This window comes from Homo sapiens, chromosome 4 (genome assembly GCF_000001405.40).
Source record: "Homo sapiens chromosome 4, GRCh38.p14 Primary Assembly".
In the NCBI taxonomy this organism is placed as follows: Eukaryota; Metazoa; Chordata; class Mammalia; order Primates; family Hominidae; genus Homo; species Homo sapiens.
In genome coordinates this window covers 163,468,856-163,482,034 of record NC_000004.12, presented here as the reverse complement: position 1 = coordinate 163,482,034, position 13,179 = coordinate 163,468,856, and the positions used below count along the sequence as shown (strand labels likewise).

The window sequence follows — 13,179 nt, the reverse complement described above, 5'->3', positions numbered from 1 at the left end:
AAGATGCTGGAATAACCTTCCTTAAGCACCATTCTCAATAGTAATTTTGATTTATTTGATTGAATTTCAATAAAGCTTAATAGCCAGTGGTCATAATGATGACCATTAGTCATCAAAGAAAAGGTTAATGCTCCACATCCCCTTTATAAGAAGAAAGGCAGTTATTTGATATGTTTTAGAGAATTTAATTTAAAATCATACAAATGCCAAGGGTTTTTGGGTTTATCAGAGCAGTACTAAATCTCTCTGGAAAATTTAACCATAACAATGAAATTTTTTTGATAGTTCTTAAAAATTAAAATTTCATTAGACCATGCTTTGAGGGACATCTTTTTAAAATGACACCATAAGGGTTAGTAACAATTGGTGTAATTGGAAATTCCAAAGTCTTCTGGGTTCAAGAAGTAATATAAATGTGGGAATCAGAGGGGTGCTAGACATAAGGAGTAGTGTGAGTTGGGATACCGTTTTCTGGAGAATATATGCCCAGTATAAAGTATTAACATTCAAAACATTTTAAATGCTGTTCTGAGGCTATGAGGAAGTAACTGGAATGAGATTTACCCTCCAGCCATAAACAACTAGAAAGCTAGACAAAGTTTATAAGGTAATAGTTTTCATATATTGGAAAACAGGCAGCACAGGATCGTGGTCTATGAAAGAGAGAAAACATTATCTTTCTGGCTTTCTTCCTAGAGGCCCTTTCCAGACAGTGCTACAGGGAAGGGCATCTGACACACAGCATGGCAAATAAGGCAACAGAGATTGGAGCTCAGGAATCCTATGTTGGCTAGCATTTTGAAGGCAGAATGATTATAAGGAGAAACTGCCCAAAGAGCTCCAGAAATCTTTAGAGTACCTTTGCATAAAGCATACATCTTACATGGCCAGGAAAATGACAACTTGGGAAAGGTGATAACCAAACAGTTCCCAGAACTCACAGAAGCTAAGCCACACTTGAGTCCTAGCCAGCCAGAGTTGAGGGGCCTGATTGAACACACCGGCGCATTCGGTGGAAACCCTGGAGAGATTATGCTTTTGTAGGGGAGCTAAACTAACACTAGAGTAAAGCATACCCTACATTTGCCTTAACAGACTTAAAATACTCGAAAGGAATGAGTGGCTTCTCAGAACAAAGTCCAACACTCTTTAAAAATATACAATAAAATAAAATCCAACCTCCCAAAATAATGTCAAGCATTTAATTTAAAAACTAGATATTCCATAAAACTGGACAGTGTAACACATTATCAGAAGAAAAATTAGTTAATGGAAACAGAGAGACCGAATAATAGGCTTAGTAGACAAGGACTTTTAAAAAAATCTTCTTAAAATATGCTAGAAGGGCCAGGCATAGTGGCTCACGCCTGTAATACCAACAACTTTGGGAGGCTGAGGCAGGCAGATCACCTGAGATCAGGAGTTCAAGACCAGTCTGGCCAACATGGCAAAACCCCGTCTCTACTAAAAATACAAAAAATTAGTCAGGTGTAGTGACACACACCTGTAGTCCCAGTAACTGGGCAGGCTGAGGCAGGAGAATCGCTTGAACCTGGGAGGCAAAGGTTGCAGTGAGCAAAGATTGCTCCATTGCACTCCAGCCTGGGTGATAAGAGTGAAACTCTGTCTCAAAAAAAGAAATTTTATATATATATATATATATATATATTTATATATATATATTCTAGAAGAATTAAAAGGAGATTAATATTATGAGGACAGTAAGATATAAAGAAGAACCAAATGGAACTTCTAATGATAAAAAGTATAATATTTGAAATAAAAAATTCAAAGGATGGGATTCAGAGCAGATTAGACACTGCAGAAGAAAAATTCAGTGAACTTTAAGACACTGCAATAGAAACTATCCAAACTGAAGTTCAGAAGGGGAAAGAATAAAAAACAAAAAGGAACAGAACCTCAGAGACAGAAAGCAAATCAGTGGAGCCTAGGGTGAAGAATAACTGAATGCCAAAGCATACAGGAATGTTTGAGGACGATAGAAATATTGAAGTTATATTTTGATTGTTGTGATAGCTAAATAGAAATAAACATTTGCCAAAATTCATTAATTTGTTGGTTAAATGGATTAATGTTATTACTGTTATTGTTTGTTGTTTGTAACTCAATACATTTGCTAAAATATTCTAGCCAAAATAAAATCTCAACAAAGGGCTGAATTTGACCTGAGGATGGGAAGGAGTTAGGTGGGACATGGCGCAAGTACTAATCCACTATTTAATGCATACAATAGTAGTATCTAATAAAAATGGTTTATAGAATGAATTAAATTCCTCTCATATATTTAAAGCTGATCATACTGATTTACAATCAGTAATATAAGTCTAATACCTTGGATTTTAAAAAATTACTATTGCTATCATTTGTTATTATATTTTAGTTTTCAAAAGTAAGAGATTTTGTTGTAATCTACTTCAAGGTTATTATCTGGATGGAAGGAAAAGCATTTTCTCCACTAAATGTAGCTAGTCTATATGAGAATAAATCCAGCTATATCATTTTCATATTTCCATCATACCCAACCATCTAGGCCAGACAGCAAATGAATATGATAAGGTATCTGAGTGTTTTCTATACATAAAGCCCATGTACCAAGTTTAAAAATCCTAGTTTTTGAAGAGATAGTCAATGTAATAACAACAACAGCAACATAGCAATAGTAATTATACAAAAAAGACCAAAGTTGTAGGTGTGTGGGTGGGACCAGGCACTGAGAATAAAAATACTGAGTAAACTACATTTTCTAGAGCCCCTTCTCTTCTACTGTGAGCCGTCTTGATTGTTTTTCTTGTTTTTTTCCCTGATTACTAGACTTACAGGAGCTTGTTTAGGGGATCTATTTTTGTATCTCCCAGAAATGTTTTCAGTTGAAGATAACAGAAACTCATTCATAAAGTGGGAATATTTAATTTTTTTCTTAACAAGGAGTCTAGAAGAAGCTGGTCTCAAGGCTTGTGGACCCACGAAGTTATGAAGAACTCATACTTTCTATTTTTCCAGTCTACCGTACTAAGCACGTTAACTTTTATCTGTAGGTTTTTTTTTTTTTTAATCATGGAGTCTCACTCCATCGCCCAGGCTGGAGTGCAGTGGCGCCACCTCAGCTCTCTGCAACCTCCACCTCCCAAGTTTAAGCAATTCTCTTGCCTCAGCCTCCCAAGTGGCTGGGATTACTGATGTGCAGCACGTTGCCCAGCTAAGTTTTGTATTTTTAGTAGAGACAGGCTTTCACCATGTTGGCCAGGCTGGTCTCAAATTCCTGCCCTCAGGCAATCCGCCCACCTCAGCCTCCCAAAGCGCTGGGCGTTAGCCACTGTGCCCGGCCTGCACTATTTATTTTAATTTCTTTTAGGTTTACAGGAAAAGTGGCTAATAATTGATCTACAGCGCCTGGCCTTATCCTTAGGCTTTTGGCTGCTATAGCTCCAACACATCCTCTGGTGGTGGTGGTAGAGGGGTTGAAAAGAATGGCTGGGCGTGGTGTCTCATGCCTGTAATCCCAGCGCTTTGGGAGGCGGAGGTGGGCGGATCACCTGAGGTCAGGAGTTCAAGACCAGCCTAGTCAACATGGTGAAACACTGTCTCTACTAAATGACAGAGCAACAAGAGCAAAACTCCATCCCAAAAAAAAAAAAAAAAGAAGAGATCACAGTTCTTCTTGTACTCTCTCCTGTTTACCAGGAAGAAAATCTTTAATAGAAATTATTACCAGCTGGGAGACCAGGCAGGAGGATCACTTGAGGCCAGGAGTTCAAAACCAGCCTGAGAAACATAGCAATACCCCATCTCTAAAAGAAAGAAACGATGAGAATTATTACACCCAAAGCAGACTTTTACTTACATCTTATTGACCAGAACTGGGTCAATAAGTGCTGACTGCCATTACTAGCCAAAGGGAATGGCATTGTGATGCTGGTCCTACATTAATTATGATTTTCTCCTGGGACTAGGAGCTGGGCCAAGTTTCTTAAATTTGTTGCCACCTCTCTCTTCTGCCCCTTCTCTCTCCACCGCAAAATAAGGACTTGTAACTGTGGAAAAAGTGGGATAGCATCCTACAGATGCATCATAATAGCATCTGTTAAAATTTTCAAAGCAATAATCCAGGAAGATAAAGTACATTTTTCTTTCCAGGAGACTTATTGCCTTACACAAGAATCTTATTCTCATTTGCTCCATACTTTAGCTTCCAAAGCCAACCAAATTTAAACAGTGGAAGCAAAAGATGAATTCAGCATTTATGTATTTTATATAATTCCATTTTAACAAAACTTAACAGTTTAAATAAGATTTAAGTAAAATTTCAGCGTTCCCAACTCCTAAATATCACTCACCCTCACATGGCAAAATATCTATTTTCACAAATCAGTGTAGACCTACTCAGTAATCGGTAATTGTGTGTTCTGTTTTCTCTGCTGCAGCTCAGTAGAAATTACACTTATCAATTGCTACTATTTAAGTTTTTCCCTCATAGCTACTTGTATTGGTAATCCTGTTAGATTTTGTTTTCATGTGAAGTACACGCTATAATGAATACTTTTAGATACTATGAGAAAAAATTAAGTGAAAAATTTAAGCAAAGTTAAAACAAAAATTATTGCTGCTTTTAAATAGACTTTAAATTGGGGTCAAAAGTGGCAGCCTGAAGGTATATTTTATTTTTCCAACAAAATGTTTATAAGTTTTTCAATTTTGAATGCCTTTAAGTGGTCTTGTATTCTCCAGTTTAACACAGGCCCCTCTAACCCTCTTATAGCTGACATCCAAGCACTCGTGGTAACTCCTTATCCCAGTAGGCACTTGAATTTGCCAATCTCTGCTTTGTCTGGATAAACCAAGATTAATAATAAATGAATAATGTTTTCCTATTTGCAGAACATTTTTGACTGGCTTCCAAAATGATCTCTAAAATGAATAATGAACTTTTCTCCAAGACAACTACATTTTTGGCGTGCTGGTTTAAAAGTTTTTGGCTGACATTTTGTCAGCCAAATAGGGTTTGGCTCCCCTATTTTGTCTTCTAAATAGGGGAGAAGGTGGTATCACGTCTTTGTTTGATTTATTTGACGAAGTTGTGTTCCCAGCCATATTGGGTAATTTTGCATTATGAAATTGTGCATACTTTAAACAAGTTGAGTATTCTTTAGTTGAAATTATTTGCTTGAGACCAGAAGTGTTTTGGATTTCAATTAAAAAAAAATTTGGAATATCTGCATTATACTTAACAACGGAACATTCCAAATCAGAAAAATCCCAAATCCAAAATGTCCTTTGAGCAGTTCCCCTGAGTAACATGTCAGTGCTCAAAATGTTTCAGATTTTGGAGCATTGGAAACATCAGATTTTCAAATTTGGGATGCTCTACCTGTATTTATATATTTTCAATTGTATATTTTAAAATATATTTCAAATTTAAAAGACTAAAATGCTTAAAGAAAATAATTAACAGCTTATATATGTTATTTATATAACATATTAATATAAAATTAATTTTATATAAACTTAATATATATTACATATATTGATATGAGTTTTTATATATAATATATATACTTTTATATATAGTATATCTTTCCAGATATTTTACTATATATATACTTTTATATATTTATATATATATATATATATATATCTTTCCAGAGTTCCTTTTACAAAATCTCAGAATGGTTTATAAGTATTTTACACATAATTTATAAAATATTATTTTCTATATAGTATAAAAAATTCACACGGTCTCACAGAATGATAGAGGGAAATTCACACTCACTATCTAGGGTATTAAATCTCCAAGACTACATTCTTCTCTTAATAAAATTGACCTTTGCTAATGTTAAAATTTTTTTATTTAATACTTTAGGAAATAGCTGTGCAATGTTTTAAATGAGTGAAAGAATGTGGGAACTTGGAAAGAAATGTTAAGAAGTCCCATGTTTTTATTCATGGGAACATTGCCTCATAAATCATTTTTGTACTATCATGTTTACTAATTGTGTGGATTTATTAGAGTTCTTTTTGGCCAAAATAATGGTGAGCTACCTGTGTTTATATTAACTACTTTCCTGTCAGCCTGTAGTAGTTTGCTATTATTTTACTGTGATTATTATTTTTTCTCTAATTCCCATCTTCTGTACTACCAGTTCTAGCCTAGTCTGCTTGTATTTCCTCCTCCTTTATTTGTCTAAAAAGATAAACAAGCTTTAATTTGCAAAGGACATGGAGAGTTATGGATACATGATGACCTCTTAAGAACTTCTCCAATGCCAACATTCCTGCAACAAGTCTTAAAATCAGTAGTGTCATATTATTACTATTTATTCTAATATGTGTCCTTAAAAGTTAAAATGATAGAACTAGTTGAAATAGCAAATAACATTTGAAATATTTTTCTGAGATATAATGCAAGAGATAATAAGTATAAAGAGTAACAACACCCCCTGAGTTAGTTGTTTACAACCCTGACTGAACATTGAAATTGCCTGGGGAAGATTTTAAAATTACTGACGCCTAGATCTATTGCCTAGAAATTCTGATATAATTGGTCTGGAGTGCAGCATGGACATGAGATGTTTTTAAAACTTCCCAGATAATTCTAAACTACAACTAATGTTGAGAACCACTGGTCTCAGACTATCTCCAGATTATGTTATTAACCTTGACTACCCATTATAATCAATGGATGTATTTTAGAAACATAGCTTCCCAGACTCCAGGTCCAGAAATTCAAATTCTATTTTTCTGGGATGGAACCAGGCATTGTGTTTCTTATGTGCCCTAATTTTAACGTGAAGTTAAGGTAAGAATTATTGCTCAAGAAACCAAGAGGTTTAACATCGCAATATGGGAAGGTATGATATATTATCATTGTGTTTTTTTTAATTGTTGTTTTATTGATGACAAACCATAACCTTGGCCTGCTAGAAGAGTTCAATGGCACAAATTTAGTTTTTTTTGTTTTAGACGGAGTCTCGCTCTGTCTCCCAGGCTGGAGTGCAGTGGCACAATCTGGGCTCACTGCAAGCTCCACCTCCCAGGTTCACGCCATTCTCCTGCCTCAGCCTCCCGAGTAGCTGGGACTACAGGTGCCCATCACCACGCCCAGCTAATTTTTTTGTATTTTTAGTAGACACGGGGTTTCACCGTGTTAGCCAGGATGGTCTCGAACTCCTGACCTTGTGATCCGCCTGCCTCGGCCTCCCAAAGTGCTGGGATTACAGGTGTGAGCCACAGCACCCGGCCCACAAATTTAGTTTTTTAAAGTAAGTAACTTTGTCTTAAAAATGATTTGTAGTAATAGTCATTAAAAGATAAACTGAGGCACATTAAAATATTAAAGCATTTATTTGACCATTCAGTGATTCATGAATCTGGTAGCTCCTGATAAAGGAGCCAAGGAGAAGGCTTTTATAGGGTGAATTTGGAAGCAAAGGAAAGATATTTGATTGGTTAAAGTGGAGTACTAGACTTATTTGGGTCATCCCAGTGGAAAGTCCCCAGTTAGAAGTTAGCTGGCAGTTTCTGATTGATTAAGCTTAAATTTCCTTTTTATCATTTACACTGATTTGGGTTTCCTTTCCTTAGGTAGGAACTCATGGAGCTGAAGCTACCTCAGCCTACTGGCCTTCTAATTATTTCAACACAGAAATAGTACTTTACGGCACACTGGAGTTGCAATTCTATTCTGCAATTGGGTGGTTTCAGATTTGTTCTTCCTATAAATTTTGGTCAAATTAGTCATTGCATTTCTTTCTATAAGTCTGAGATTCAGATATTTGGTTGCTCTGAGAAAGTCTCTGTTGAGATAGCATTGCCATACTGGTCAGATTGAAAGTGACTTTGTATCCTTTCTATTAATGTTCTGATATGAAAGAGTGATGACTCGGATATAGTGTTAATGCATTAAAAAAGCACAGCCTGACAAATCGCTTCCTATAATACACAGAAAAATGTCTAGTCTTGAATTTATAACACAGGGAAAGGTAAAAAATTTAATTATGCTTCCTAATGTTGAACATGCACGTGACAAAGTAAATACTAAAAATCCATTCAGCTGGGCGTGGACAGGGAGAGGGAACGGTGCACATCAGAGGGTGCAGGCTACTCCAACGTTTCCGTTTCCTCAGTCTCGCGGGAAGCTCCGTTGTGGGCGCCCCGGCTGGTGGCTGAGCTCAGGCCTTCAGGCAGAGGGGAGGCGAGGGCGGGGCGGTCACGTGAGAGCACTGCCGCGGTGGGTTGTGGGGGTGCTGCGGCGCCGTTTGCTTTGCCAAACCGACAAAAGAGAGATGATGGCCAACGACGCCAAGCCCGACGTGAAGACCGTGCAGGTGCTGCGGGACACAGCCAACCGCCTGCGGATCCATTCCATCAGGGCCACGTGTGCCTCTGGTTCTGGCCAGCTCACGTCGTGCTGCAGTGCAGCGGAGGTCGTGTCTGTCCTCTTCTTCCACACGATGAAGTATAAACAGACAGACCCAGAACACCCGGACAACGACCGGTTCATCCTCTCCAGGGGACATGCTGCTCCTATCCTCTATGCTGCTTGGGTGGAGGTGGGTGACATCAGTGAATCTGACTTGCTGAACCTGAGGAAACTTCACAGCGACTTGGAGAGACACCCTACCCCCCGATTGCCGTTTGTTGACGTGGCAACAGGGTCCCTAGGTCAGGGATTAGGTACTGCATGTGGAATGGCTTATACTGGCAAGTACCTTGACAAGGCCAGCTACCGGGTGTTCTGCCTTATGGGAGATGGCGAATCCTCAGAAGGCTCTGTGTGGGAGGCTTTTGCTTTTGCCTCCCACTACAACTTGGACAATCTCGTGGCGGTCTTCGACGTGAACCGCTTGGGACAAAGTGGCCCTGCACCCCTTGAGCATGGCGCAGACATCTACCAGAATTGCTGTGAAGCCTTTGGATGGAATACTTACTTAGTGGATGGCCATGATGTGGAGGCCTTGTGCCAAGCATTTTGGCAAGCAAGTCAAGTGAAGAACAAGCCTACTGCTATAGTTGCCAAGACCTTCAAAGGTCGGGGTATTCCAAATATTGAGGATGCAGAAAATTGGCATGGAAAGCCAGTGCCAAAAGAAAGAGCAGATGCAATTGTCAAATTAATTGAGAGTCAGATACAGACCAATGAGAATCTCATACCAAAATCGCCTGTGGAAGACTCACCTCAAATAAGCATCACAGATATAAAAATGACCTCCCCACCTGCTTACAAAGTTGGTGACAAGATAGCTACTCAGAAAACATATGGTTTGGCTCTGGCTAAACTGGGCCGTGCAAATGAAAGAGTTATTGTTCTGAGTGGTGACACGATGAACTCCACCTTTTCTGAGATATTCAGGAAAGAACACCCTGAGCGTTTCATAGAGTGTATTATTGCTGAACAAAACATGGTAAGTGTGGCACTAGGCTGTGCTACACGTGGTCGAACCATTGCTTTTGCTGGTGCTTTTGCTGCCTTTTTTACTAGAGCATTCGATCAGCTCCGAATGGGAGCCATTTCTCAAGCCAATATCAACCTTATTGGTTCCCACTGTGGGGTATCCACTGGAGAAGATGGAGTCTCCCAGATGGCCCTGGAGGATCTAGCCATGTTCCGAAGCATTCCCAATTGTACTGTTTTCTATCCAAGTGATGCCATCTCGACAGAGCATGCTATTTATCTAGCCGCCAATACCAAGGGAATGTGCTTCATTCGAACCAGCCAACCAGAAACTGCAGTTATTTATACCCCACAAGAAAATTTTGAGATTGGCCAGGCCAAGGTGGTCCGCCACGGTGTCAATGATAAAGTCACAGTAATTGGAGCTGGAGTTACTCTCCATGAAGCCTTAGAAGCTGCTGACCATCTTTCTCAACAAGGTATTTCTGTCCGTGTCATCGACCCATTTACCATTAAACCCCTGGATGCCGCCACCATCATCTCCAGTGCAAAAGCCACAGGCGGCCGAGTTATCACAGTGGAGGATCACTACAGGGAAGGTGGCATTGGAGAAGCTGTTTGTGCAGCTGTCTCCAGGGAGCCTGATATCCTTGTTCATCAACTGGCAGTGTCAGGAGTGCCTCAACGTGGGAAAACTAGTGAATTGCTGGATATGTTTGGAATCAGTACCAGACACATTATAGCAGCCGTAACACTTACTTTAATGAAGTAAACTAGGCTTATTTCTAAAAAGTCAAGTCTATTGGCTTTGGCCCAAAAGCACTGGTATCTTTGTATTAAATTCATGTTTATTGTCACAAAACCATTATTTATACCTATACAGTTGTACTGTTTCTTTTAAAGCAAAGCCATTTAACATCTTTCTTCATTCCTAATTTGGAAATTAAAGTTTACCTTTCTGTTAATCTATGTATAAATGTTACTCTGAGTTATTAATGTGGATTTTAAAATTGTAAGCAATAGAATAGGAAATAAAACAACTACCTAATACAAATATTTCTGATAAGACTACAAATATCTGACTGAGCTGGGGATTAAAGTAGAGGTAACTGTATCTTAAATGAGTATGATTTCCTTGTAAGTTAAAAAAATTGAAATTTAATTGTAGACTTCAATAGTCCAAGTTTTGAAGGATGTTTGAGCTTTTGTATAATGCCATTTATACCTGCAGTTTTACAGATAATGTTTGACTGCAGTTGCCTTGGAAATTCCTCCAAAGTTTGCCTTCATCTCTCCTCTACAGTTTGGAGGTGATGGTGCAGCAGTGGAACATCTCTTGATGCACCACACTACTTGTGTTCTGTGAAGTGATGAAAGTATAACTGGTTCTAGTTTGCACACTACACACATAGTTTTGTGAAGCTTCAGAAATGTTTTTTCTTTTCCTTGTGGCCAAACCAGTTTGTTAATCTGATTATATTCATCTGCTAATGATACTAAAGTTAATGTAATAAAGCATTTAAAAATCAGATACTTCAGTCTGTGCTGTGTATGTGGGATTTGATTTCTTCCTGATGAAATCCTAAATAAGGAGAACTTGTGTCTAAATAAGAAACAGAGAGAGTCATGACCCCCAGAAGCAAACCTGGAAAAAGGTTGAAGCTGGAGATAAGTTACTAGAGAAGATTGTATGGACTAAAAAGCCATCCCTTAAGCAGACTCCTGACTTTTGGCTGTCAGTGTGTAAATATATGCTTGGAGTACAAGAAAGTACCAGTCAGGCAAATCATAGATGGACCCAAGGTTCCAAACTAAATTAAATTACTCTGTGTCTATGTCAGGTAATTATTTCCTTACTTTTATTACCCTCATTAAGTTCTTTGGAGGCATAACCAATTTGTCTCAGCAATCATTGTCTTAGGAGGTATAATAGAGCCAAAAAATATTAATACTAACCTGGGAATTAGAGAAACCAGGCTCTCCTCATCTGCTACTACCCGTTTTCTCTAAGCTAATTTCCTCTTTTGTAAAATGATTACGAAAATTGCTCTGTTTTTTCATAAGATTTAAAAATTACTTTGTAGAAATAAAAAGTTGACATAAAATCATTGCAGAAGTTTAGAAAATGCAAATAAGTAAAATATGTTTACCCCCCGTTTCACACACACAAAAATCATTTAATTGTATTCACAGCATGTTTTCTGTACATGCTGTGAAAGTGGGCATGTAAAATGGTCTGTTTCCAACCAAACATGCATAAGCACACCTTTAATAATGACAGTAGATCAGATTCTTTATGTCTAATGGAATCTCAGACACCACCAGAAATTATATTTTTTGTAGCTGGAGGGGAAGCCCTTAGGAATCTCTCTTGTAAAGACTCTGTTCCACAAGTTATCAACCAGAGGCTATGAGCTCCAGAGAGAAGAAATAGCAGGTGAGTCTTATGTCCACAATTCTTCAAGTACGAATCATATCCAGTTTTGCTATATTGAATGTTCTCTAGCTTTGAATCTGTGCTGAGATCTTTAAAGTGTCCATGGGAATCTTAGGAGAGAATCAACCTGACATATGCTAACCCTTGACTGCTAAAGCTTATGAAGATGTACTTTTGATGAACAACATGATCACTGGTTTAACTCTGGCCTTCTATTCATTGTTTTTGCTGTGAAGGTCTATTAGATTATCAATAACCTGGTGATATTCCAGGGACAGCTGTTGACACCAGCAGCTGCCTTGCTTATGTTTGCAGTTCTAAAGGCTGCAGTCATCTGAGAGTGACACTGGTCATTTACATGGTGAATGGCTCCCTGGTCATTTCCTGATTTCTGTGACCCTCAGAGATAGCAAAAGAAGGAATCAGTACACTGAACTTTCATTTTATGTTACCTTATTTAAATATATCAATGGCTCTTAAGCTATATGGAACTTCAATGGAGAGCCCTATTTGGGAAAAAAATATAATTTTTTAAAAAGTAAGAATCAATATTTCTGATTTTAAAATTATGTAAGAGTAATGTGAACTACTCACTGAGTTTTAGTTATCTCAGTTTCCTGAACTTTACAGGAATCACTAAATTCTCCAGAGTCCAATCAGAGAGGGGTTGGTTTGGGAAGTTGAGAAGTATTGAACTGTTTTGGTGACCCTTACTATCATGATATGGAAGAAAGGTCCTGGCACATTTTTGTGGTAGAATGGAAGAGTGTACTGTTCTTAGAGAGAAACTATCTTCTCCATCCTCCTATAAGATAGGGAAGGAGGCACTGAACCAATTCCCTTTACTGACATTGGTAGGGGAGAGTTTCTATAAGAGAATTGCTCACAAGGTTTGGAGTTAACACCAAGAAAGGGAGACAGGTATTTCATTGCAAGGTTGGATGTTGATTTAGACAGGGCTTGGTTTCCTGACCATAGATAGAACTCCTGGGTTAGAGCAGAACAGGTTGGCAAACACTGACAGTAGGCAAAATCTGCCACCACCTGTTTTTATATAACTGTAAGATAAGAATGGTTTTTACATTTTAAATGGTTGAAACAATTAGAAGAGGAGTACTATTTCATGACATATGAAATTCAAATTTCAGTGTCCTTGAATAAAGTTTTATTGGAACATAGTCATGCTCATTCAACTGGGTATCATCTGTGGCTGCTTTGGAGCTACATTGGCAGAGTTGAGTAGTAATAATAGTCACCTTATAGTCTGCATAGCCTAAAATATTTACAACCTGACTTTTTATTATTATTATTATTATACTTTGAGTTTTAGGGT

General features: G+C 38.0%; 1 protein-coding gene across 1 annotated transcript; it reads left to right on the top strand.

Annotated features, from left to right (window-relative positions):
- Positions 1-8,280: 8,280 nt before the first annotated feature.
- On the top strand, positions 8,281-10,940 carry TKTL2 (transketolase like 2). The gene has a single exon (NM_032136.5). The coding sequence runs from the start codon at positions 8,301-8,303 to the stop codon at positions 10,179-10,181; it is 1,881 nt and encodes a 626-aa protein (NP_115512.3). The 5' UTR covers positions 8,281-8,300; the 3' UTR covers positions 10,182-10,940.
- Positions 10,941-13,179: the final 2,239 nt, after the last annotated feature.